Source organism: Homo sapiens, chromosome 16 (genome assembly GCF_000001405.40).
Source record: "Homo sapiens chromosome 16, GRCh38.p14 Primary Assembly".
Lineage (NCBI taxonomy): Eukaryota > Metazoa > Chordata > Mammalia > Primates > Hominidae > Homo > Homo sapiens.
In genome coordinates, this window is record NC_000016.10 from 30,347,096 (window position 1) to 30,370,933 (window position 23,838).

General features: G+C 54.6%; 2 protein-coding genes and 1 long non-coding RNA gene across 8 annotated transcripts, besides 10 other annotated features; 1 reads left to right on the forward strand and 2 right to left on the reverse strand.

Annotated features, from left to right (window-relative positions):
* Positions 637-1,136: an enhancer, noted in NCBI's record as "H3K4me1 hESC enhancer chr16:30359053-30359552 (GRCh37/hg19 assembly coordinates)". NCBI's record gives its function as "activates a minimal SCP1, AML or CMV promoter by ChIP-STARR-seq in primed H9 embryonic stem cells {active_cell/tissue: H9 hESC(primed)}" and the evidence as "EXISTENCE:reporter gene assay evidence [ECO:0000049][PMID:30033119]".
* CD2BP2 (CD2 cytoplasmic tail binding protein 2) lies at positions 3,678-8,213 on the reverse strand. 2 transcript variants are annotated; one of them, NM_006110.3, is made up of 7 exons: positions 8,117-8,213; positions 7,509-7,612; positions 7,089-7,227; positions 6,806-6,963; positions 6,273-6,705; positions 6,086-6,192; positions 3,678-6,000 (listed from the first exon to the last, which is right to left on the reverse strand). In NM_006110.3, exons 2-7 carry the CDS (start codon positions 7,584-7,586, stop codon positions 5,890-5,892), a joined length of 1,026 nt encoding a protein of 341 aa, NP_006101.1. In that variant the 5' UTR covers positions 7,587-7,612; positions 8,117-8,213; the 3' UTR covers positions 3,678-5,889. The 2 variants fall into 2 exon arrangements, with proteins under 2 accessions (NP_006101.1, NP_001230575.1); NM_001243646.2 differs by lacking the exon at positions 8,117-8,213 and having other exon boundaries at positions 7,509-7,839.
* Positions 7,227-8,178: an enhancer, noted in NCBI's record as "NANOG-H3K27ac-H3K4me1 hESC enhancer chr16:30365643-30366594 (GRCh37/hg19 assembly coordinates)". NCBI's record gives its function as "activates a minimal SCP1, AML or CMV promoter by ChIP-STARR-seq in primed H9 embryonic stem cells {active_cell/tissue: H9 hESC(primed)}" and the evidence as "EXISTENCE:reporter gene assay evidence [ECO:0000049][PMID:30033119]".
* Positions 7,227-9,130: a biological region, named in NCBI's record as "P300/CBP strongly-dependent group 1 enhancer GRCh37_chr16:30365679-30366878".
* Positions 7,263-8,462: an enhancer, noted in NCBI's record as "P300/CBP strongly-dependent group 1 enhancer chr16:30365679-30366878 (GRCh37/hg19 assembly coordinates)". NCBI's record gives its function as "activates an origin of replication core promoter dependent on BRD2, BRD4, P300/CBP, MED14 and CDK7 cofactors, with strong dependence on P300/CBP, by STARR-seq in HCT116 cells {active_cell/tissue: HCT116}" and the evidence as "EXISTENCE:reporter gene assay evidence [ECO:0000049][PMID:35650434]".
* Positions 8,153-8,447: an enhancer, noted in NCBI's record as "tiled region #48; HepG2 Activating DNase unmatched - State 1:Tss, and K562 Activating DNase unmatched - State 1:Tss". NCBI's record gives its function as "activates a minimal TATA promoter and a strong SV40 promoter by Sharpr-MPRA in HepG2 and K562 cells {active_cell/tissue: HepG2 | K562}" and the evidence as "EXISTENCE:reporter gene assay evidence [ECO:0000049][PMID:27701403]".
* Positions 8,179-9,130: an enhancer, noted in NCBI's record as "NANOG-H3K27ac-H3K4me1 hESC enhancer chr16:30366595-30367546 (GRCh37/hg19 assembly coordinates)". NCBI's record gives its function as "activates a minimal SCP1, AML or CMV promoter by ChIP-STARR-seq in primed H9 embryonic stem cells {active_cell/tissue: H9 hESC(primed)}" and the evidence as "EXISTENCE:reporter gene assay evidence [ECO:0000049][PMID:30033119]".
* Positions 8,185-8,244: an enhancer, noted in NCBI's record as "active region_10697". NCBI's record gives its function as "activates an Ori minimal core promoter by ATAC-STARR-seq in GM12878 lymphoblastoid cells {active_cell/tissue: GM12878}" and the evidence as "EXISTENCE:reporter gene assay evidence [ECO:0000049][PMID:35858748]".
* Positions 8,325-8,384: an enhancer, noted in NCBI's record as "active region_10698". NCBI's record gives its function as "activates an Ori minimal core promoter by ATAC-STARR-seq in GM12878 lymphoblastoid cells {active_cell/tissue: GM12878}" and the evidence as "EXISTENCE:reporter gene assay evidence [ECO:0000049][PMID:35858748]".
* CD2BP2-DT (CD2BP2 divergent transcript) lies at positions 8,339-13,232 on the forward strand. 4 transcript variants are annotated; one of them, NR_184233.1, is made up of 2 exons: positions 8,339-8,525; positions 9,198-13,232. It is a non-coding gene; the product is annotated as a CD2BP2 divergent transcript (long non-coding RNA). The 4 variants fall into 4 exon arrangements; NR_184232.1 differs by having other exon boundaries at positions 9,271-13,232; NR_184231.1 differs by lacking the exon at positions 8,339-8,525 and adding an exon at positions 8,827-8,904.
* On the reverse strand, positions 10,007-23,399 carry TBC1D10B (TBC1 domain family member 10B). 2 transcript variants are annotated; one of them, NM_015527.4, is made up of 9 exons: positions 22,133-23,399; positions 18,400-18,499; positions 18,010-18,117; positions 17,805-17,911; positions 12,632-12,746; positions 12,443-12,508; positions 12,077-12,266; positions 11,568-11,722; positions 10,007-11,478 (listed from the first exon to the last, which is right to left on the reverse strand). In NM_015527.4, exons 1-9 carry the CDS (start codon positions 23,086-23,088, stop codon positions 10,849-10,851), a joined length of 2,427 nt encoding a protein of 808 aa, NP_056342.3. In that variant the 5' UTR covers positions 23,089-23,399; the 3' UTR covers positions 10,007-10,848. The 2 variants fall into 2 exon arrangements, with proteins under 2 accessions (NP_056342.3, XP_011544091.1); XM_011545789.3 differs by lacking the exons at positions 17,805-17,911; positions 18,010-18,117; positions 18,400-18,499.
* Positions 22,825-22,904: a silencer, noted in NCBI's record as "silent region_7363". NCBI's record gives its function as "represses an Ori minimal core promoter by ATAC-STARR-seq in GM12878 lymphoblastoid cells {active_cell/tissue: GM12878}" and the evidence as "EXISTENCE:reporter gene assay evidence [ECO:0000049][PMID:35858748]".
* Positions 22,995-23,284: a silencer, noted in NCBI's record as "silent region_7364". NCBI's record gives its function as "represses an Ori minimal core promoter by ATAC-STARR-seq in GM12878 lymphoblastoid cells {active_cell/tissue: GM12878}" and the evidence as "EXISTENCE:reporter gene assay evidence [ECO:0000049][PMID:35858748]".

Below are 23,838 nucleotides of genomic sequence, written 5' to 3' on the forward strand. Positions count from 1 at the left end.
AGTTACTCAGGAGGCTGAAGAAGGAGAATTGCTTGAACCCGGGAGGCGGAGGTTGCAGTGAGCCGAGATCACGCCACTGCACTCCAGCCTGGGCAACAAGAGCGAAACTCAGTCTCAATAAATAAATAAATAAATAAATAAATAAATAAATAAATACAAATAAATAAGAAGAGGGAAACCAGAGGCTGCCAGCGCCTGCTGCTGACTTTTACAGGCAGGTCATGTGCCACGTCTGCATGGGCAGCTGGGAAGCTGGCATCTTACATAAAGGGACAGAGAAGCCTCCTGGGGAACAGGGGCCTAGCGGGGACAGGATTGCAGCCACCTGCAGCGGCCAACTGGAGATGGCAGCGGTGGCCCACCGCAGGGGGTGTAGGTGGTCAGGGGCCACTGAACCCTCCCCTGTGGAGCATACCCCCGAGGGTGCCCGGCAGCTGGGGACTGGGCTCCACAGGGAGTTCAGAGTGGCTGCTGACTCCACGGAGCACTGTTGTTACTTGGGCCCCACACAAAACATCTACCTTGAAATCCATCCTTGGGAGAAACTCCTCTCAGGTCTTGGCATCAGGAGGAGCTGGGCATGTCCAGGTCTCCGGCTTGGTTCCTGCCGGGAGCAGAACGGAAGGCAAGTAGCTCAGCCTGACCCCCTGCCTGGGAGCCTGGGTGAAACGACTAGCAGCACGTCATCAAGCTGGCCGCACTGCCGCTCTAGGGTCTGGGTAACTAGACACTCCTCATGGGAAGGGGTGGCAGATGTGGCAGAGACGTGAAGAGCCCTCATTCCTCCGGCATGAGGAGCCGGAGCCTTCACTTATTTGAACCCTGCTGGACTCCTGTGCAGGCCTTGTCTCTCACAGGGCCACAGCAGCTGCCCAGGACAGAGTCTGACGCCCCAGGCCTCTGTCAGGAGTGCCGAGACTTCCTTCCCCAACTCCTGCTACTTCTCTGAAGAATAACCTGGCCAAGGCAAGAGGCTGCATTCAGGCCTGGGTGCCATGGCTCACGCCTGTAATCCCAGCACTTTAGGAGGCTGAGGTGGGCGGATCACCTGAGGTCAGGAGTTCGAGACCAGCCTGAGCAACATGGTAAAACCCCGTCTCTACAAAAAAAAATTGCAAAAATTTAGCCAGGAATGGCGCCATGCATCTCTTGCTCCAGCTACTAGGGAGGCCGAGGCAGGATTACTTGAACCCAGAAGCCTGAGGCCGCACTGAGCCATGATTGCACCATTGCACTCTACCCGGCTTGACAGAGCAAGACCCGGTCTCAAAAAAAAAAGTTTTAAGTGAAAAGCAAAGAACTTCACCTCTGTGGTCTTCCTCCCTAAACTCCATAAACCAAACCTATTCATGAGAAAAAGGATCAGACAAACCCAAATTTTAGGAATATTCAACTGGGTGTGGAGGCTCACACCTGTAATCTCAGCACTGTAAGAGGCTGAGGCGAGAGGATCACTTGAGCCTGGGAGTTCAAGAACAGCCTGGGCAACATAGTGAGACCTCATCTCTAGAAAAAAAAAAAAAAACATATATATATATAATGCGTATATATAATGCGTATATATATATGCGTGTATATGTGTATATATATATGCATGTATATATATATAATGTGTGTGTATATATATATATATATATATACATTTTAAATTTATAAAGTTGTTTTTAAAAAGAATATTCTGAGGCCAGGTGCGGTGGCACACACCTGTAATCCCAGCACTTTGGGAGGCCGAGGCAGGTAGATCACCTGAGGTCAGGAGTTTGAGACCAGCCTGACCAACGTGGTGAAACCCCATCTCTACTAAAAATACAAAAATTAGCTGGGCATGGTGGCACACGCCTATAATCCCAGTAACTCGGGAGGCTGAGGCAGGAGAATCACTTGAACCGGGGAGGTGGAGGTTGCAGTGAGCAGAGATCACACCATTGCACTCCAGCCTGGGTGACAGAGAGAGACTCCGTCCCCCGCCCCCCGTCCGCCAAAAAAAAAAAGAATATTCTACAAAATACAAACCAGCACTCCTTGAAACTGTCAAGATCAACAAAGGTGAAGCCTGAGAAGCTGTCAGGCTGAGGAAGCTAAGTAGATGTGACAACTAAATATAATGTGGTGTCACAAGGGATCCTGAAGCAGAAAAGGACATTAGGGGAAAACTAGAAAAATAAAAAAAAAGTGTGAAGTTGAATTAGTAAGAAAAATTTTAAAAAAGGGTGAAGTTGAATTAGTATTAATGTACCGTACATCCACACAATACACTGTTATTCAACAATAAACAAAAGGACTGGGCACGGTGGTTCACGCCTGTAATCACAGCACTTTGGGAAGCCAAGGGGAGCGGATCACCTGAGGTCAGGGGTTTGAGACCAGCCTGGCCAACATGGTGAGACCTAGTCTCTACTAAAAATACAAAAACTAGCTAGGTGTGGTAGCACAGGCCTGTAATCCCAGCTACTTGGGAGGCTGAAGCAGAATCGCTTGAACCCAGCAAGCAGAGGTTGCAGTGAGCCAAGATCGTGCCACTGCACTCCAGCCTGGGTGACAGAGCAAGACTCCGTCTCAAAAAAAAAAAAACAATAAACATAGATGAAGATATCCACATGGCTGAACTTGAAAGCATAGGGCCAAGTAGAAGCCAGACCCAGAAGACCACATATATGATTCCATTTATCTTCAATGCCCAGAAGAAGCAAATCTAGAGGCAGGAAGTAGATGGGTGGTTGCCAGGGCTGGGGGGTGAGGAAAGGTGGGGAGTAGTGAGAAGGGGCTACTCATGGGTCAGGTTTCTTTCATGGTAGGAAAAAAAGGTTTTAAAATTAGACTGTGGTGATGGTTGCACAACCCTGTGAATATACAAAAAACCACTGAAGGGTACTGAAGCGTGGTGGCAGGTGCCTGTAGCCCCAGCTACTCGGGAGACTGAGGCAGGACAATCCCTTGAACCCAGGAGGCAGAGGTTGCAGTGAGCTGAGATCGTGCCATTTGCACTCCAGCCCGGCAACAAGAGCGAAACTCCATCTCAAAAAAAAAAAAAAAAAAACTTACTCAAACAAAAAGTTTATATCTATCTATCTATCTATATGTATCTCTTACAAACTGTATACATATAAACTGCATATATACACACACAACTAAAAAAGAAAAGCACACTGGGCACAGTAGCCCACACCTGTAACCCCAGCACTTTGGGAGGCTGATCTGGGAGGATCGGTTGAGTGCAGGAGTTTGAGACTAGCCTGGGCAACATAGCAAGACCCTGCCACTACAAAAAAAAGTTTCTTAATTAGCCAGGTGAAGTGGTGCACTCCTGTAGACCCAGCTACTTAGGAGGCTGAGGTGGGAGGATCACTTGAACCCAGGAGTTCAAGGCTGCATTGAGCTATGATCACACCACTGTACTCCAGTGTAGAGAGATGTTGTCACCCCTACTGGGTGACAGTAACACCCTGTCTCTAAAAACAAAACAAACAAAAAGCCAAGGAGTGCTGTTTCAGATGTGCTATAAAGGCCACCCTAGCAAGAGGCAGCCACATTTATAAGTGCTGACAGGGACCTGAAATAGCAATGTGGTCACAGGAAGGGAGAACTTAGTGAGATCGGGTGGTTCATGAGGTGTCCCCTGGATGCATGAGTAGTTGTTTCCTATTGGGGCTGTTAACAAATTACCACAAACTGAGAGGTTGAAAACCACACCAATTTATTATCTTACAGTTCTAGAGGTCAGGAGTCCAAAATGGTTTTCACCAGGCTGAAGTCTTGTCAGTGCGGCTTTGTTTCTCCACGGAGGCTCTGGGGCAGAATCCAATGCCTTTTCCAGCTCCTCCAGGGGCCACCTCATCGCCTGGCCCCAGGCCTTCTTGCCATCTTCACAGCCAGAAGCTTCCTTGCTTCATGCGCAGACCCTCGTGACTCCCCTTCCCTTATAAGGGCCCCCATGATTACTCAGGGCCCACCTCAACCATCCACGGTCATCTCCCCACCACGAAATCCTGAACTGAAGCACAGGCGCCGGGTCCCTTTTGCCACGCAAGGTAACACTTTCCCACGTCCTGGGGTTCCAAACCTGGACATCTCTGGGGGCTGTTATTCCACCCACCGTCATCAGTGAGGCGCCTTCAGGAGGGGCTGTGAGGTCACGTGAGGTCGGCTTCAGAAGGGCTAGGTTTGAGTGCCTGGAGGACACTGGCAGGAGGCGCCCCTGGGCTCCATCCATTTACCACGCACGCACTCAGCACCCCTGAGACCATCCCTGGGGCCTACAGGAGAACCCTGTACCTCAGCAGCCCTGAAACCTGCTTTCCACTTCCGGACCTTTCTGAAATCAAGACGCATCTTTAGATCAATGGCATCTTACTGTGTCACCGGCAGGCCTCTTCTTTCTTAGTGACGTTTAAAGGAAGGTATCTTACCCCTGATGGCTTCTTGGAGTGAATGAAATTCCGGTGTGAGCAGGCACTAGAAGGGGCCTCACAAGAGTGTCAGGTGACCCCACTCCGCCCTGGCCCCCAAGTCTTTCCTAGTTGCTCATCTGGCCCTTTCTGACCTGGGATCCCAAGTGTCCTGCAGCTCCAGTGCCCAGACCCCCATAACTAACAGACCCCACTAAAGCCACACACATGCTCAGCTCTCCAACCACGGTGGGGTCCAGGAGCCACCCCTCCCGCTAGGTGTGCCTAAACCATGGGGATCTGACTCAGGGGCTCTCTCTCGGCCTGGCTGCAAGCTGAAAACACCTGGGGGCTTCCAAAATGCCCAATGCCTGGGCCACAACCTAGACCAGCTCAATCTGAATCTCCAAAGAGATATTACAGCTCCCCAGGAGACTCCAAGGGGCAGCCAGAGTGCAAAACCGGAAGAAACCATCTAACGTGGGGCAAGGGAGGCGTAAGGCAATGCTGGTGGGGCGTGGAGGTGGAGGGTGCCAGGCCCAGGCTATAGAATTACATCTGTCTATTTCCCATGCCCCTGCCACCAGACTCTGAATTCCTGGAAGGGGACCAACCCAGCTACCTCAGTTTCCTCAAGGCACTAGCCCTGTGCCAGGCACATAGTGGGGTCCAGAGAATGTAGGCCGCAGGGCCTCCAAGGCCAGGCAGCAAAGGCTTTGTGCCAAGAAAGGTCTGGGAAAGGAGCCCACTGGGTCTGGGCCAGCCCTTTGATTCCTGTGATCTCCAGTGAGTCACTGCCCCTCTCTGTGCCAGTACAATGCACACTTGGCCCACACTTGGCCACTGAGTTTGCACTTCACTGAAGGGCTGTGGGAACGACGGCAAGGATAGAGGAAAGCCAGATTAGGGAAGACACTGGCTCTCAGAACCTTAGGGATCTCGGTCTTGGGCCACTCATCCCACTTCTGCCCAGCATCTAAGGAGCTTGAGAGGGTGAAGCGAGAGTAAGAGGGTTCCATGCTCACCCCCAACAGGGTCCCAATGTCTTCTCGATGCCCTGGTCCTTCTGGGCCTAAAACATCCACTTCTGGGGCTCTGTCCTCTGGTGGCTACAAGGATAAAGAATCTGAGGTCCTGAAAGCCAAAGACCTAAGAGGAATCGAACAAGAAACCTGGGAGAGGAGCACAGAGCAGCGCAGTTGGGGGTGTTTACACGGCAAGCAGAGTCCAGGCAGGGAGGCCACAGGATACCTGACAGGCACCTCCAAGAAGGATCTTCATGGGAGTACTCAGGGACCAAGACAAGTCCAAAGGGACTGTGGAGAAGGCCCCTGGCTTCTGGCCATCAGCACAGCCAAGGCCCCAGTACACAACTAAAGGCTTTTATTGGGAAAGGGAAATTGACTGAAAAATGGCCTCCAATTTCCTCGCTGCCTGAGACACTTGGTGCCTCCTCCACAAAGTCCAGGAAAGAAGGGCCCACCAAACTGGGCCCCCAGCAGGCTCAGGTGTAGAGGTCAAAGTCAATGCGTTTGGAGTTGTAGAACTGACCACCAGGGGGGTCCAGCTTCCGGCAATAAACACCGTCCGGGAAGTAGCCTTCACTCACCCAGGTCTGCAAGGAGAGGGCAGAGCTGGGGAACAACTGACAGGAGTGGGGGAAGCAGGGACAAGGCAGGAGGAGGGAGAAAGCAGCTCACCTGCATCTGGGCGCTGGTGAAGGGCCCATACAGCTCGGCATCCCCCGTGTTCTCCCACTTATATTCCCACATCACATCCACCAGACCATCTCCCCGCGACTCTGCTTCTAAAATAACAGGCAAAGCCATTTGGCCTCCAGTGTCTCACTTCCTACCCACTGCCCCCTCCTCTGTCCTCCAAGCTCACCTCCTCTCTGGGTAGGGGTTGGGGTCTCCAGTTCCTCCTCCGCCAACTCCTCAGCGAACATGTCCAGGGAGGGTGGGGGTGTGGGATTGTGGGGTCCTAGGGTCTGACACCCCAAACCCTTCAGACGCATAGCCAACCGTTCCCTTGTTTCCTGGTACACACCAAGGTTGCCCCGGGCCACCATCTGGTCGGCCAACCCGGAGAGCCGGTCCAGGCGCTGAGGGGAACTGGGTTGCCCAGGCCCCTTTCTCCCTTTGCCTCCTCCTCGGGCCCCCAGACGCCTCAGTGCCCCAGCCACTGTCTCTCTAGGCAATAGGAGCTCCAAAAGTCCCTCCAAGAGGGCTTGGGCACTCATTGAGGTCTGGCCCAAGCTGTCCTCCTCCTCCGAGTCTGAGGCCTGGCGCTGGCCAGGTGGCCGCTCCCGGATCTTCACCTGTAATGGGAAGATGGAGTGATTTCCCACCAACTGCCACGGGAGCAGGCCCAGCATCTGCCACTCCCAGGCCCCAGCCACGCCAGCCCCTGGGCCGCACCCAGTCAATGTTGTCCAGCCAGCTGTCTCGGATCTGAGCATCCCGGTTCAGGAAGTAGTTGCCATCGGCATCAAAGTGGCCTTCCTCCATCTCCTCCTGCAGGTTAAAGGGTGTGATCCGAACACCCCCCTCGCTGGGGAGTGTGGCTGCCTCCTGACCTGCACCAAAGACACAGGTGCCCTTTTCCAGGCATGGAAAAAAGAGACCGGAGCCTCCCTCGCTCCACACCACCAGAGGCCCCTACTTGTTTTTCCAGCAGAGTGTATTCTTGGGTACAGCTTACCTTCTACATCCTCTGAGGCCAAGATGTCATATTTGCTGGACCCCCCATCATCATCATCCTCCTCCTCATCGCTATCCAAAGAGTGTTTGCCTTTAAAGCGGCTCCCAGGACCCCCTGACCCAGCCACAGGGTCCACCAGCTGTGAGCAGGAGCCAGAAAGTTGAGAAATGCAGGTTACTGGCTACCTCCCCAAATACTTCCGGATCTGGACCCAAATATTCCCCAAATATTTCAGGATCTCGACTACTTCCCCAAATATTTCAGGAGCCACACTAAAGACGCTCCCAACCCATTCCTCAGAGAACCTGAAAAAACTAGGCTTTTCTCTGCCTGCCCGCCCCGCCCCTCTCCCGCCAGCTTTCTTCCTCTTCAGGCTTCTAGCTCCTCTTTCCCCCACACAAAGCAGTCTGGCCCCCTCACCTTCTTCTTGGGGACAATGATTTCATCCTCATCCTCCTCATCTCCCACGCCTTGGAAGGTCACTTTCCTCTTTGGCATGACGGGGCAAAGAGGTGTTTCTCAAGCTGAGGAAAGGATGCAGAGGAAGGGAACCGGGTGAGGAGGGGACTCGCCAACAGACGCAGCACAGCAAACATTTTTCCTGGTCTGTGACAGGTACAGTTTGGGAGCGGAGGGAGCACAAAAGCAGGGGCCGAAAGGAAGCTGGCAGCCAGGAGGCCTCCAGGACTTGGGTCTAGCATCCGCGAGTTAAACGGGGCGGGGACGGAGGAGCGGACCCTCTGGATCCCCCGACCCTGGCTGAAAGGAGACAGGCTTCACCACGTGACCGCCCCCAACTCCAGCCCCCGCAGTCTGCGCGCCACCGGCTCCACGGGCTGACCCCCGCTCTCTACCCTGGCTCTCTCGGAGCTCGCCGGGCCCCGGCAGACCCAGGACCTGGCGCTCTCGCCACCCCGTTCCTCCCTGCTCCGAACTCCCAATTCCGTGTGGTGAGCCCCAACTGTCCCGGGCTGTGTACAACTTAGAGGGCCACGGGGATTCGGGCGGTCCCACCCTCGCGCACTCACCTGGGAATCCGCGGAAGGCGAGGTGGAAAAAAGAAGAGATGCTTGCGCCAGGGCTACATCCGGGGCACCCGGCCGCCATCACCCGGAAGAGGACTGCGGAAGGCGCCCGGGAAGCCCGGAAGTGGCTTCACTCGGGTTAGGGAACTAACTGGAAGAGCGGGCGGAAGTATGCGATAAGCGAGCGAAGACGCCTCCACCCTCTCTCCCGCCAGAAGTGACGTCAGTCACGTGGGAGGACAATGGTGAGAAGAGGGAACCTAAGAATTCCTGGACTCTGACTGGGCGTGAGAAATGGCCGGAAGTAGCTTCGAGTCCGTCATTCAAGCAGTAGAGGCTCTGGAGAAAAACTGGAGCGCATCTGCTTAAAGGGCCGCCCAGGGTCAGGATGGAGGGGCAAAGTCCGAGCAGGGTCAGTGGGTTGCTGCTCCGTTTTCCTGTCCTGGGTTCAAGTCACCCTTCCCCCAGGGCTAAGGGCTCAGCGCCCCTACCGTCTCGTTAGAAATCCTGCCTTCCCATTCCTATGGTCCAGTGGTCAGCCCTCCTAGCCTGAGAGGTGCAGCCTTGCCTCTCCGAGGGGAAGCCTGACTCTCCCGATGGCCAGCCTGGGGCCCCTGGACGGCTCTCCGGGCACTTTCTGAACACACCTCCCTTTAGGACCCAGGGGAAATAATTTGTCCCACGCCCATACCCTGGGCGAGTTCCTGGTTTCTGAGGTGGGAGAGCCATCACTGGAGAGGTGGCATTGGCGCCAGTACTCAGGCCAGAAGCCCCTTGTGCCCTGCTCTCAGGTAGGCCTGGAAAAGGGCAACAGTGCCTCTCTGCAGCATGAAGCCCCCCTGAGCAAACAGGGCCTAGCAACTCCTGCCCAGGTAGCGGAATGTGGCCCAAGCAGAAGGGGGAATTGGGGAGGTAGCGGGGATCAGCCCCTGTGCTGGGACCCCTAGCTCTTGACACTCGGAGCCTGCATCCCCCTAAGCCAAGACTGTGCGCAGGCAGCACGTGCTGAAGCCAGACGAGGACAGCATGAGAGTTCCCCTACTCTTCCCCCAGGCAACTAGATGGGCCACTTCTCTCTCCCTAGGGGTTTCCTCCCATATTGGATCACGATGAAAACTGCACAGAAAGTCCGTGCTCAGTTTCTTCCATGGTTACAGAACACAGGCCCCAGACCAGGAAGGCATTCTGCTAAAGAAGGGGACCCGAAACCTCAGCTACCAGCGCCGATGGTTCATCCTCCGAGGAAACCTCCTCTTCTACCTAGAACACTAGACCGACCATGCACCCCTGAGCCTCATCCTGTTAGAGAACTGCCAGGTGGAACCACACCTTAAGGCTGCAGAACCCTATGCCTTTACCATCCTGACCCCTGGGGTGGAGGGCACAGGTGGGCGGGCCTACAAGCTGGCTGCAGAAACCCAGGAAGAGCTGGAGACTTGGCTGTGGGCACTGGCTGGCGCGAGCTGGAGGCGGCTGGCTGGGCTGCTGTCCCCCCTCCCCCCCCACCAAAACCCAATACTGGGAGCTGTGCCAGGCAACTGGCCAAGAACCCATCTCATCCCCAGAGGACAGTGGCTTTCTAGCCACTGTGAGTACCCCCTCCAGCTTCCAGGAGTTGCATGAGCACTTTGGGAAGGAGATCCGGGTGCTGCACGTGGTACATAGAGAGCTCCAGGCAGCCAGTGACAATGGAGACAGCAGATCCCAGGCAAAGATGGAGCAGGAGCTCAACCAGTGTCTGATGAGTGACTGAGAGATGGACCCAAAGCTAAGAGGTACCTACTTGCCAAGACAGCAGACTGCTTCAACAGAGACCCAGGTCCTGGCTCTGTCCCTCCCTCCCTCGTCCTTACCCCATCCCCCCCTCATCAAATAACAAGGCAGAAAACAGGCCCAGGTACAACAGCAGGTTCTTTTCCAATTCCTCAAAGCGCTGCATGGGGTGGGGGCAGAGACAGAAGAGAATGTAAACATTGGGTTCCACCCCCTGGAGCTCAAGGGAAGACCCTTACCCAGATAGGGACTAACTGGAGGGGTGGAAGGGAACAAGGTGAAAGGTATGGGTCCTGGTGAGACAAAAGCAGGGGGGCCTGAGAACACAGAGCAAGGTGGGTTTGGAGGGAGCACAGCAGGGTGCAGGAAGGGAGATGGGGGACATTTCCTATTCCAGTGCATGTCCCCTTAAATAAACTGGGTACAGGAGCATTATGGAAGGAGAACCAAAGGACAGAAGACAAAGCGAGCACCCCCACCCCAGGCCAACGCCATCCTCTGTACACAATTACAACACAGGTCCAGAATGAGAGCCCTGGCCAGGAAGTGGGGGAGACAGGGAGGGCTGAAGACAGGGAAAAGGAAGCCAGCTCCACCTCATGGTAAGGGGAGCTATGGAGTGTAAGAATCTGAAACTGCTGACTCCCATCACCAGGAGTCACCCCTGGGATGACAACGGGCCATTCAGGACAGCACCTAGGAGGGGACCCAGAGGGAACTGGGGCAGGAGCGACAGAGACCCCAGCTGAGCCTCATGGGAGATGAGAGGCTCCAGACTCATTTGCAGCTGCCCATCTGTCCTGCCCGTGTAGGGATCAGCAGCTGGCGAGGAGATGGGGAACCAAGCCACTTTCCCCAGCAAGGGACAGCCTGACAAGGTGCTAGGGGGTGGCACCTTGGGCCAGGCCTGTTCTTGGCTGAGGGAAAGAGGGGGGCCATGCAGTCCAGCCCCAGGGCAGAGGTCAGAAGTAAGCGTCCTGCCGGGCCTCGGCTGAGGGCCTGTCCCCACCATCATGGGGGCCTGGGGGCCCATCTGCCTTTCGACGCAGCGAAAGCTTCCGGCCTTGAGCCTTCTTCTCCTGCTTCTGCCGCTCCTTCTCCTGCTTCTCTCGCTCCTTTTCCTGCTTCTCTCGCTCTTTCTCCTGCTTCTGCCGCTCCTTCTCCCGCTCCTTCTCCTGTTTCTGCCGCTCCTTCTCCTGTTTCTGCCGCTCCTTCTCCTGCTTCCGGGTCTCCTTGCTGGAACCCAAGGGGGTGCTATTGCCAGTGGGTGAGGGAAGGGATGGATGCAGTCCCTCAGCAGTGACCACAGGCCCTGGGGCAGGCCCAGCACTGGCTCTGCGGACGGGGGGCGGCGGGGACGGGGCCCCTCCAGCTGCCCGGGAGCCTCGGCTCTTGAGGCCAGGGAGGCTGAGGAGGCTGGAGGAGGGGCCCAGGGGTGGCTGTTGCCGCCGGCGCTCCTCGTGGATGGCCCGGGACCCATGCAGTCGCCGTGAGGGCCGATACTGCAGCTCCCCCCGCGTTTCCCGCCACTTCTTGAGCTGGGCTGCATTCTCCCGCTCAATCAGTGCTTCTGTCACCGGCAGATTGGTCACCTGCACAGAGAGGAAATGCGTACCAGAATGGAGCTGAGGGTGGGAGCGGGCTGAGGCAGGCAGGGGCTGCGTTGAGGGCACAGGCCTACCTCATGCACCAGGAAGTCTTCCTGCATGCACTGCTGGGGCAGGTTACGCAGCTGCTCCATGGTCTCATACATGCCTTGGCAGGAGCGCAGCTTCTCCACTGAGCCCAGCGTGTGGCGCAGCAGGACCAGGGCCACCCGGAAGATGATCTTAACGCCTGCAGGGGTGGAGAGTAGAGAGCATGGGGTGGTCAGACCCAAGATCTCAGCCTGTCCTGATCAGGATAGACTCACAGCCCCCATCCCCATCTACTGCCAATCTCAGATGAGGAAACTGAGGCCCTGTGAAAGTACATGAGCTGCTATCAGTCTCAGGATCTTGGCAGGGAGAGCAGGCTCTGGGTTGGTGGCAGAACTAAAATCAGGCCTGTTTCTCCAGCCCCCAGCTGCTTATGGTGAAACCTCCACCCAACAAGTACCTTTTGTCCATGGACCACCAGAAATATGACAGAACCCCTGGTAGCCACCACAGAAACCCCAGCCCCTCATGGCCTGGAGGGCCACAGAAGTACCTTCACAGAAAAACATGTCCCAGACACGCAGCACCGACGCCCAGGGCAGGGTGCGGGCGAAGATGCACATGAACCACTCCGTCATGTAGAGCACAGGGTCAATGCGCTGCCGCCGCAGGTGGCGATGCGCCAGCGGGGAGGCCCGGCGCAGGAGTGCAAAAAAGATCTCCCCGTCCAGCTGAATGGCCTCCTGCAGGTGGGACAAGCCATGAGAAGAGGGCCAAGTCAGCTGTGCCCCCATCAGGGGAGAACTGGCCGGCCCTGTGGGCAGAAGCCGGGAAGGCCAGGGTGGGGCAAGGCAAGGACCTGCCTGCAGCCTGGAGGAAACGCCACAGCCCCGGATGCACCCAGCCTCCAGACACTCACCAGCCCTGCACTGTAGTAACCTGGGAGGTACTTGTCGCAGATCTGCACCAGGCACCAAAAGGCTTGCTGAGAAGAGCAAGAACAAGGAGGAGGGGTGGGGCCTGAGAAGCAGGGAGCAGGGAGCTCCCCCATCACCACTGTAGGGTGAGATCCCCCCTGCCCCTCCCGGCCCAGGACCAGGGCGCTGACCTCCGCAGGCATGTGCATGAGCAGGACCGCAGCCACGGGGGCCTGGGCCTGGCAGTAACCCTCGTCAGGCCGGTAGATGGTGTAGGCCTTCAGGATTCGGTACAGGTCCTGTTGCCTGTGGGGGTTGGGGAAGACTGTGAGGGCAGTCACGGGCTGAGAGCTCTGTCCCCAAACCCAGTTCCAGATTCGTCCCAGAGTTTATCACCAGGCTCCTCCATCCACCTGCCCAGTCCTGCTGAGCGAGCTTCAGCTAAAGGCTCAGCCCACAGCAGAGCACTCCAGGCCCCGGGGCTCCGCCTTTGGCTACATACTCCACATGCTCCTGGCCATCCCAGCACAGGCTGCACCCTCGCCCTCCTTCCTCAGCCACATCCCAGAAACCTTCCAGGTCATTTTCTCCAGGAAGCTTTCCACAGCTGCAGCATCAGCCCTCCTCTAGCACTAAATGTCTTTGTCACCCCAAAGCAGTAGCTCCCCAGGGCAGGGCCTGCCTTATCGGTCTCACTGGATTTCATGGTTCTTGGGGAAGGCTTGGAAGCCAGCTGTGCCTCAGCCCTTTCTCCTGTCTCTGCATCCAAAAGAATAAAATCTGTACCCTAGATCTGCTCTTCTTGAGGGTGCCCCACTGCCGTGTCCAGGACTTCTATTCACTCAGCCCCACATCAGAAAAGAGCCCCTTACTCCAAGCCTAAGCAGCGCTGCACCCTGAATTCCATTCCTGCCTGCTCCTCTCCACCTCCACAGCCATTCGCAGCTCAGACCTCCATTTCTTGCCCATAAAAAATGACCTCCCAGATCCTCTCCCTGCCTCCAGTCTCACACATCCTCCTCCTGACCACTTCCCAGAATAGCTTTTCCCAAAACTCCAGGCATTCAAGTGTGATCTTCATTTGTATTTTATCTGCATACCACCCTACTATTTAGTTGACATTTTTTCTCCACTTTGCAAAAGCATCCACGAAATGACAGGTTTGATATGGTTATTTTACCTAATGCATATTAAAATAAATATGTAACTTCCACAAGCACCCACACCCATCACCCACCTGCCTGCTTCCGTGTCCCTGCCTTCTCCCTGTTGCTATGGGTGAAGAGTCTGTGATCCTGGCAAGCACTTCCTTTCCACTTGGGCCCAGGATCCCATCCCCTCTCGCGTGTACAGGCCACCACTCCAACAACCCTCCCCTTGCTCCTGCACTATCAATTTCTCTCTCCACCGTTCCCACAAGCATACCCACATGCTGTTATTTGAGTTTAAAAAAAAAAAAAGTCTCTTCACCAGGCGCAGTAGCTCGCGCCTGTAATCCTAGCACTTTGGGAGGCCAAGGTGGGTGGATCACCTGAGGTCAGGAGTTCGAGACCAGCCTGGCCAACATGGCAAAACCCCGTCTCTACCAAAAATACAAAAATTAGCCAGGTGTGGTGGCGGGCACCTGTGATCCCAGGTACTTGGGAGGCTGAGGTGGGAGAATCACTTGAATCTGGGAATCTGGGAGGCAGAGGTTGCAGTGAGCCAAGATCACACCACTGCACTCCAGCCTGGGCGACAGTCAAGCTCTGTCTCAAAACAAACAAAAAAAAGTCTCTTTACCCCTCTCTTCCCTCCAAATACCACACTGTTTCTTTCCTTACCTATAGACTCACTGTCTTCAATTTCTTTTCTCCCATTCTCCAGTTAGGGTTTCACCCACTGCTCCACACAAAACTGTTTTTGTTTGTTTCGAGACAGTTTCACTCTCGTTGCCCAGGCTGCAGTGCAATGGTGCGATCCCAGCTCACGGCAAACTCTGTCTCCCAGGTTCACGCAATTCTCCTGCCTCAGCCTCCCTATAAAATGCCCGGCTAATTTTGTATTTTTAGTAGAGACGGGGTTTCTCCATATTGGTCAGGCTGGTCTCAAACTCCTGACCTCAGGTGATCCGCCTGCCTCAGCCTCCCAAAGTGCTGGGATTACAGGCGTGAGCCACCGCGCCCAGCCACAAAACTGTTTTTTTTTTCCTTTGAGACAGAGTTTCGCTCTTGTTGCCCAGGCTGGAGTGCAATGGCGTGATCTCGGCTCACTGAAACCTCTGCCTCAGCCTCCCGAGTAACTGGGATTACAGGCACCTGCCACCACACCAAGCTAATTTTTTTTTTTTTGAGACAGAATCTCCTCTGTCGCCCAGGCTGGAGTGCAGTGGCGCGATCTCGGCTCACTGCAAGCTCTGCCTCCCGGGTTCACACCATTCTCCTGCCTCAGCCTCCCGAGTAGCTGCAACTACAGGCGCCCGCCACCATGCCTGGCTAATTTTTTGTATTTTTTTAGTAGAGACGGGAGTTTCACCGTGTTAGCCAGGATGGTCTCGAACTCCTGACCTCATGATCTGCCCGCCTCGGCCTCCCAATGTGCTGGGATTACAGGCGTGGGCCACCACGCCTGGCCTTTTAAAAATATTTTTAGTAGAGACGGGGTTTCACCATGTTGGCCAGGCTGGTCTTGAACTCCTGACCTCAGATGATCTGCCCGCCTTGGCCTCCCAAAGTGCTGGGATTACAGGTGTGAGCCACCGCACCCAGCCACAAAACTGTTTTTAACATGGTCACTAATGACTTCTCCAGTGTTCAATCCAGAGGTCAATTTTCAGGCTGGACTTTATTGGACCCTTCAGCAGCATTTCACACAGCTGATGCTTGAAACCCCACTACATTTTGCTCCCAATCACATGCTCCTGGTCCTCCTCCTACCTCTAGCTTCTCATTCCAGTCTCCTTTACCGGCTCTTTCTCATCTTCCCATTCTCAAACTATTGGAGCTGCAGGGCTCAATTGTTGGACATTTCGCATCAATTCCTTTTGTATCTACACTTGTTGCCTTTGTGACTTCATCCAGTCTCGTGGGTAAGATTTAGTCCCTCTATAAGTTGACGACTCTTAATTTCCAATTTATCTCCAGTTTAAACATCTGCCCTGAAATCCAGGTTTGTGTATACTGTACACTGAACTTACATCTCTATCTAGAGGTCCAATAAGCATTTTAAACTTAATGTTCCCTGCCGGGCATGGAGACTCACACCTGTAATCCCAGCACTTTGGAGGCCGAGGTGAGCAGATCACTTGAGGTCAGGAGTTCGAGACCAGCCTGGCCAACATGGCAAAACCCCGTCTCTAATAAAAATACAAAACTTAGCTAGGCATGGTGGCGGGTGCCTGTAATTCCAGCTACTCAGGAGGCTGAGGCAGGAGAATTGCTTGAACCTGGGAGGTGGAGGTTGCAGTGACCCGAGGTGGCGCCACTGCATTCCAGCCTGGGCGACAGAGCGAGACTCCGTCTCAAAAAACAAAAATAAAAAATAAACGTTCCAAAACTGAGCTCCTGATATGCCCCCCACAGCTACCTTTACCCCATCTGTATTAGTAAACAGCAACTCCATTCTTCTCATTTCTCAGGCCAAAAACCCTACTCCCCTCTCTCCTCTCACACTGCATGTCTAATCCATTGGCAAATCCCTTTGACTCGACCTTCAAAATATATCCAGAATCCAACCACTTCTCCCCATACTCCCGCTGCTACCATGCTGGTCTAGCTCTCACCCTCTCCTGGATTACAGGAAGTCTCCTAACTGGTCCGTTTCTGTCCTTGTCTCCCTATAGTCTGTTCTCAGCATGGTAGCCAGAATGACCCTTTTAAAACATAAGCAGGATCAAGTCATTTGTAACCCCATCCCCACTCACATTCTCTATTTCCCTCTTGCTTTAAACTCCTCTTTAGGCCCAGGCACAGTGGCTCACGCCTGTAATCCCAGCACTTAAGGAGGCTAAGGCAGGCGGATCGCTTGAGCCCAGGAGTTCAAGACCAGCCGGGGCAACATGATGAAAACCCATCTCTATCAAAAAACAAATAAAAGTAAAAATAAAAATAACCTCCTCCTTAATGCTTACCATCATTTCACATACAATATACTTTCCTTTCCCTGATTTATTGTTTGTCCCCACTAAAATATAAACACCATGAGAGGAGTTTTTGGTTTTTTGTTCACTGCAATCATTTGTGACTAGACAGTGCCTGGTAGATAGCAGATGCTCAATAAATATTTGCTAAAGGATGAATTATTGATTTAAAAAATTGTCCGGCTGACCGTGTTGGCTCACGCCTATAACGCTAGCACTTTGGGAGGCCAAGGCAGGTGAATCACCTAAGGTCAGGAGTTCGAGACCAGCCTGGCTAACATGGTGAAACCCCCGTCTCTACTAAAAATACAAAAATTAGCCGGGTGTGGTGGCGCGCACCTGTAATGCCAGCTACTTGGGAGACTGAGGCAGGAGAATCACCTGAATCCAGGAGGCAGAGGTTGCAGTGAGCCAAGATCGTGCCACTGTACTCCTGCCTCGGCAACAAGAGCAAAACTCCATCTCAAAAAAAAAAAAAAAGAAAAGAAAGAACAAAAAGTCCATCTGGCCAGGCGCAGTGGCTCACACCTGTAATCCCAGCATTTTGGGAGGTCAAGGCGGGCAGATCACTTGAGGTTGGGAGTTCAAGACCAGTCTGGCCAACACAGTGAAACCCCGTCTCTGCTAAAAACACAAAAATGAGCTGGGCACGATGGTGTGCACCTATAATCCCAGCTACTCAGGAGGCTGAGGCATGAGAATTGCTTGTACCTGGGAGGCAGAGGTTGCAGTGGGCTGAGATCACACCACTGCACTCCAGCCTGGGCAACAAAGGGAGACTCCATCTCAAAAAACAAAACAAAAAAAAGTCCATCAGAGAACTCCCTAAGATGATCATCTTGCATACTACTAGAGAAGAGTATATACTGACATCTGGAGGAAGCTTGGTCTATAGAACAAAATTCCAAATGCTTTGGCATAGCATTTAAGGGTCCCTGGTGATCTTTTCCATAACCCCCAGGCAGGAAAACCCTGCCCCACTGCTGTAGCTCCCACCCCTCCAAAACCCAGCCCAAATGCAAGCTCTTCAAGGAGCCCATGACGTGCCCCCACACACAACCTGAGTCAAGTCTCCTTCCCAGGACAGTTCCTTTGACATGGCTTGACACTTAGTCCATTACAGATAGCTCTTCTACAAGTCCTGAAGGGCAAAAACCACTTTCGACTCAGTCTTGTATCCACCTAGCTAAAAGGTGGATCCTCCAGCCAATGTTTGCTGACTGACCCCCATGGTCCGGCCACCTTACCCATGCCCCCCTCGAGCAGCAAACATCTCGTGGAAAGGGAACTGGCGGTGCAGGTCCTTCTCAATCACATCCAGCCACTTGGGGTCCCCAGGAGCCCGTTCCAGCTCCTGCAGTGGGACAGTGGGGATTACCTCAGCATCTGGGGGAACTGATACCCCTTGCACAGACAGGGCCACATGTCCCCACACCTTGGAGCTGCACGCACCTCAAACTTTCCTGGGTTCTGCTCCAGAAGTTCCTTGCTATTAGACAGGTACTGCCAGGCTTTGGCTCTGAGAGAGGAGGGGATCCCCTTCCGGCAGCGCAGCTTCACCTAAGGCAAAGTGGCAGGAGGGGGACAGCTTCAAGGGCTGGCACAGCCTCCAACCTTTCCCCAGCAGTCCACAAACTCCCTGGATACTCCTCCGACATCCCATAGGCTTGATTCCACTGGACCTGGCCTGGACTTCTATTTTTAAAGCCATTCCCCCGCCAGGGCCCATCTATCCCCAGTGTGGTCCAGAGGGCAGATATTATCGGCTTCCTGGGCTTCCCTGGAGCACATGCTACCCCTCCCAACTTGTGCATTGCCCTGCCCACCATTCAGCCCTCAAACCTTCTGGAATCGCCGTGACAGCCACTTATCCCAGTTACTGAACATGTCCAGCCATTTGAGCTCCCGCTGCCGAGCCACGTCCACGGGAATGGAGCTCTCTCTGCAGGGTCGGGGGAGCACGGAAGGGGTCAGTAGCAATAGTGTAAAACCTGCATTGCAGGGGGAACTGAGGCAAGCCACCTCCCCAAGCTCAAACGAGAAACTGGATAGTCTGTGAGCTGCCAAACATCAGGATGTCTGGCCACTTGGGCATCCCAAGGCACACTGAAAGGGCTTCCTTCCCTGATGGATCTCTATTCAGAGGTCATATTTAAATCTCACTTCTGACACATCCAAATCTGGGGAGAGAGTATGGAGTATTTTAAAGCCACATTTTGCATTAGATCTGGATCCACGTCCTAGCTTTACCATTTATTCATTGTGTGACCTTGGGCAAATCACTTAATTTTGCTAAGCCCAATTTCCTCATCTGTAAGGTGGAGAAAGTAACAATATCTACCCGAAGGGGTTTATACGAAATAACACACAGCGAAGTGCCCATTAAGTAATACCTTACTATCCATAAAATAAAATACCCTAGAGGGCCAGGCATGGTAGCTCATGCCTGTAATCCCAGCACTTTGGGAAGCAGAGGCAAGAGGATCACTTGAGGCCAGGAGTTCAAGGCCAGCCTGGGCAACATAACGAGATTCTGTCTCTACAAAAAATAAAAATAAAATAATAAAATAGGCCGGGCATGGTGGCTCCCACCTGTAATCCCAGCACTTTGGGAGGCCGAGGCAGGCGGATGACTTGAGGTCAGGAGTTTGAGACCAGCCTGGACAACATGGTAAAACCCTGTCTCTACTATAAATACAAAAATTAGCCAGGCATGGTGGCACGTGCTTGAAATCCCAGCTATTCGCGAAGCTGAGGCATGAGAATCGCTTGAACCCGGGAGGCGGAGGGTGCAGTGAGTCAAGATTGTGCCACTGCACTCCAGCCCAGATGACAGAGCGAGACTCCATCAAAAAAAAAAATAATAATAATAAAATAAAATACAGAACAAATGTACTTCTGTCTCTTTAGACGCAACCATCTGAGTTTTGTCCTATCAAATGTTTAAGATCCCTTGGGTCACCTGCAATTTACTCTACCTCCTCCTCCCTGAAATCACCCCAGGCAAATAAAGGACTCCCTGCCCTATTTACTCACTGTTCTGTCAGAGGTTCATACTCATGGTGCCCCATCATTCTTCAAACACTTACTTGTAGGAGCCAGTACTAGGAGGTGAGTAGAACGGAAGAAAGCTTGGGTCTTAAGAATCAAACCTACCTAAGTTCAAATTTCAGTTCTGTCTCTGAGACAATAGGGAGCTTTGTCAAGGGATGACCTGAGTCCCTTCCTCAATTATAAAAAGACACCACCGGGCCGGGCATGGTGGCTCATGCCTGTAATCCCAGCACTTTGGGAGGCGGAGGTGTCAGAAGTGAGAAGCGGATCACCTGAGGTCGAGAGTTCAAGACCAGCCTGGCCAACATGGTGAAACCCTGTCTCTACTAAAAATGCAAACTCAGCCGGGTGTGGTGGCACATGTCTTCAATCCGATACTCGGGAGGCTGAGGCAGGAGAATTGCTTGAACCTGGGAGGCGGAGGTTGCAGTGAGCCAAGATCGCACCATTGCACTCCAGCCTGGGCAACAAGAGCAAAACTCCGTCTCAAAAACAAAACAAAACAAAACAAAACAAAAAAAACACCACCACCACCTACATCACAAAGTTATGAGAAGACTATTGAGAAACTGCATATAAACATCTGTTAAATAGAAGGGGCTCGTTAAATGTTAGTTTCCTTTGTTCTAGAAGCTCCTTAAACAGAGAGACCATCTCTCATTAATTTCTATCATAAGTCGGTTACAAACTCTACCAAGGGCTGGGAAGAGTAAGATACCTTCTGGCCCTCAAGAAGGTTACAGCCTAAGAGGAGCGATAACTGTAATACAGCATGGGAAATGCAATGACAAAGATGCACCAAAGACACATCTAATTGGAGTGGGGGCAGTGGGTATCAGGGAAGCTTCCTGGAGGAGGGGACATCTGAGGTAAGCCATGAAGAAATGAGTAGAACTTAGCAGGCAAAGAAAGGGGAGAAGAGCACCCTTGGCAGGTGCACAGCCTGAATATGAAGGGGAAAGGACTACAACTAGTTCAGCAGGACCACAGCGCAAAGCACCCGGTGAGGAATGGTGGCAAAGGTGACCAGAGAGGCTATGCGCAGGCCAAAGAGCCTGAACTTCATCCTGTGGACAGCAGCGAGCCACTGAACGCTGCGAAAGTAACATGGATTACAGTCAGTCTTGCCCAAGAGGTAGAGTTCTCTGGCATTGAAGCTGATCTTACAGGGACAAAGCTACAAAGCAAAGAAACAGCACCCGGCATAGTGCCTGGCACACAAGAGGGACTCCCCCAAACTAAGTTCAGCCCGAGTTCCTCAGGACAGCCTGCTATTGAGGAGAGAGCCACTGGTCACACAGATCCAGATTATTTGAGGGGGACAATTCACTCAACTGCACTAATTGTTTCTTCATCTATAAACCGAGTCCTTGTGCCTAGAAAGCACCAGGGTCAAACCTCAGTTGCTTTCCCATGTAAGACCCTGAATGTTGGTACCCAATCAAAGGCTTTCTGATTTTGGTTGGCTCATGAACCCTGCCTGGAAAACTCTCCCACAGGGCTTCCCCCGATCCCTGCACACATAGCCAAGACTAAATCAATCCTACTTACTCTCCACGATTCAGAGCAGGTTCAGCTGACTCCCTGCTCTAGGTGCCTCAGGAAACCCTCTGGAGATCTCTAGGCTAAACCCGAGGTCTTCTATTGAAACCAACTGTTTAAGTACTTTTCTTTCTCTCCAGATGATTGGCTCCTTGAAAGGACTATTTTATCCTTAGCACCTGGGGCCTGACACCTGGGGGCCCAGGAGATGCTGTAGGCTGACTGGCCCAGCAGGTCAAAGGGGCACAGGAACAACGGGCAGGATCCAGAGAGGGGGAAGGAAGAAGTCAGAGGCAATCACCCCCTACCTCGGGAGTGACTCAGGCCCCGGAGAGAACTAGGAAAGAGTCAGCCCGGCTGGGGAGATGAGGAAATGGGGAAGAGGCCTCTCCCACCCTTTACTTCAGTGCAGATACAAGACTGCCCTGTTTCACAGCGGGATCCTGACTGCACAGTCTCCCTTCCATCAGCCAGACTTCCCCACCTCTCTACTCCATCCCTGGGACCTAGGGCTATGGGGGAAGGGAGATGCCTGCACCCCTCCCAGGCTATCCACCCTAAGGGACCAAGGGTCTCTACCAGAACCCTCGCCCAACCAACCCTCCAGAATATCCGGCCTGTAGCTGGAGTTCCCCATCAAAGAGCAGGGATGACCTCAGGTATCATCTCATTCAATCCACTTTATAGAGGAAAAAACTGAGGCACGGAAATGGGGAAGCCACTAGCTCAAGGGCACACAACCCATCAAAGGCAAGGCTTAAACCCAGACCTCTTGACCCCTGGTCTGAAACTCCACTAACATGCCAATGTCACAGGCACCTCAGGATGCTCAAGACACGGCAGCTCGCGCTGATCACCCCGTGGATCCTCAGAGGAGGCTGGGCTGCCAGAGTCTGGGCAAAGTGTATCGTTTTCGTTTCGCCCTCCCCCAACCTTTGCTTCCCCGAGGCGGTCCCGCTGGGTGCCCACTGGTACTCACAGGCTGCCCGAGTACTGGCTGCCCCCAAGGAAGCCATACTTGTCCGTCTTGCGCAGGGCCAGCCCGTTTATCTCTGAATCTGAGCCCATGGAGCTCACATCATCCGCCAAGGACTCCAAGGTCCCAGACATGAGGCTCACGGAGTCCAAGTAACTCAGCGTGTCCGGGGCCTGCCCTCGAGGCCCAGAGATGCCAGGTCCCAGGCTGGACGTGGAGCCCAGGTCTTGAGAGTTTTCAGCAGGCTCCGGAGCTGGGGTCACGGTCACGACAGCTACCGGAGCCTCACAAGTCCCAGAGGGGCCTGTGCCAGGGCCTGAGGGGTCCTCAGGAGCCTGTCCTGCTGATGCTGATGTTGCTGCGGCAGCTCCATGCCCACCTGTCACTTGTCCTGATGCACTCCGTGCAGTCACTCCTGAGGCCACTGTGGTTCCCGGCTTGGGGGCAAGCGGGGGTTTGGCGGTCAGGGCACCAGGAGCCGTTCTGGAAGGGGTCCTGGTAGGGGTCCCGGTGGGGGTCCCTGGTCCTGGGGCGGGTGAGGGTCGAGCCTCCTCTGTCTTCGGCGAGTCTGCCCCTGCGGCCAGAGCCCTCGATGTCTCAACTCCAGCCACTGCCGCGGGCTCTGGGGATTCCGGGCCGGAGGGGAGCTGCGGCTTTGGGGCTTCGGGCGAGGCCTCCAGGGTCAGCACCACCACCGTGCTGCCCGTGACAGCCGGGGCTGGGGCCGGGGCTGGGGCCGGGGCCGGAGCAGAGGTCTCGGCCGACCCCGGGACCCAGGCGGGCCGCGCCTCCCCGGGGGCCACCAGGGTGACGGGGGCCGAAGTGGCCGTAGTCACTGGAGGTCCCGGAGCCACCACCACGACGGGCCCGGCCCGGGAACCCCGGGGCGGCGGCGAGGGGGCCGCGGGGGCGCCATGACGGCGCGGCGGGGCCACCAGGGGCGCCGTGCCCGTCTCCATGGCCGCGGGCCGCCCCTCACATCCCCCCGCCGGGGAGGCCGCAGAAGGCGCCGCCCCTCGGGCCTCCCGGCGAGGCCAGCCGAGAAAGGGGAGAGGGCGAAGGGCGCGGCTCGGCGCGCGCCGGGGGCGGAGCGGCCGCTGGGCGCGCAGAGGCGGGGCAGGGGTCGGGGGGCGCCGCGCGCCGGGGTCTCTCTCGAGCCCTCTCACCCCCTCGCGCGCTCTCGCCACCGCCCCCTCCCTCCTGCTTGGGGGCGAGCCGCCGACCTCGCGCCTGCGCACACGCCGCAGAGCCGGCTCCGCGCCAGCGTCTCGGCGTTCCACGCCTGCGCGCGGACTGGCTCATCGCGCTCCTTTTTTCTCCCGCCTAGTCAGAGGATTTGGACGAATAGTGGGAGAGAGAGAACTGGGCTTCTGCCAATCGTTGGAATCGTGGGCGGGGCTGGAGGCGAAAAAGGGGTGGGTCATCTGGAAAGAGGAAACGGAGAAAGCTAGGGCTGTAAGACCAATCAGAGGACGAGGAAAGGCAGGGGGCGATGGGACGAAAGAAATAACCAATAGAAACGCAGGGGTCTGAACCTCCTGGCCAATGAATATGACTGAAGGGTGAATGACCGCGGAAGGGCGGAGGAGGAGGCAGGGCTGTGCGAGTAAGAGGTGGGGCCTGGAGGCTTCTTAACCAATAGGAATGGTAAAAAGGGAGCCAATGAAAAGGGGAGCAGGTGGAGGTCAAATTGACAGGCAGTGATGTCT

Bases quoted from the DNA above. Each gene is read 5' to 3' on its own strand.
- CD2BP2 (NM_006110.3), bottom strand. From the start codon at position 7,586: ATGCCAAAGAGGAAAGTGACCTTCCAAGGCGTGGGAGATGAGGAGGAT. The intron at 6,964-7,088 runs GTAAGCTGTACC...TCTTTGGTGCAG, and splicing joins GGCCTCAGAGGATGTAGAAG to GTCAGGAGGCAGCCACACTC. The intron at 6,706-6,805 runs GTGCGGCCCAGG...TTCCCATTACAG, and splicing joins GGCTGGACAACATTGACTGG to GTGAAGATCCGGGAGCGGCC.
- TBC1D10B (NM_015527.4), bottom strand. From the start codon at position 23,088: ATGGAGACGGGCACGGCGCCCCTGGTGGCCCCGCCGCGCCGTCATGGC. The intron at 17,912-18,009 runs GTGCGTGCAGCT...GTCCCACTGCAG, and splicing joins AGAACCCAGGAAAGTTTGAG to GAGCTGGAACGGGCTCCTGG. The intron at 12,267-12,442 runs GTGAGTGTCTGG...TCCCACCTGCAG, and splicing joins GTTACTACAGTGCAGGGCTG to GAGGCCATTCAGCTGGACGG.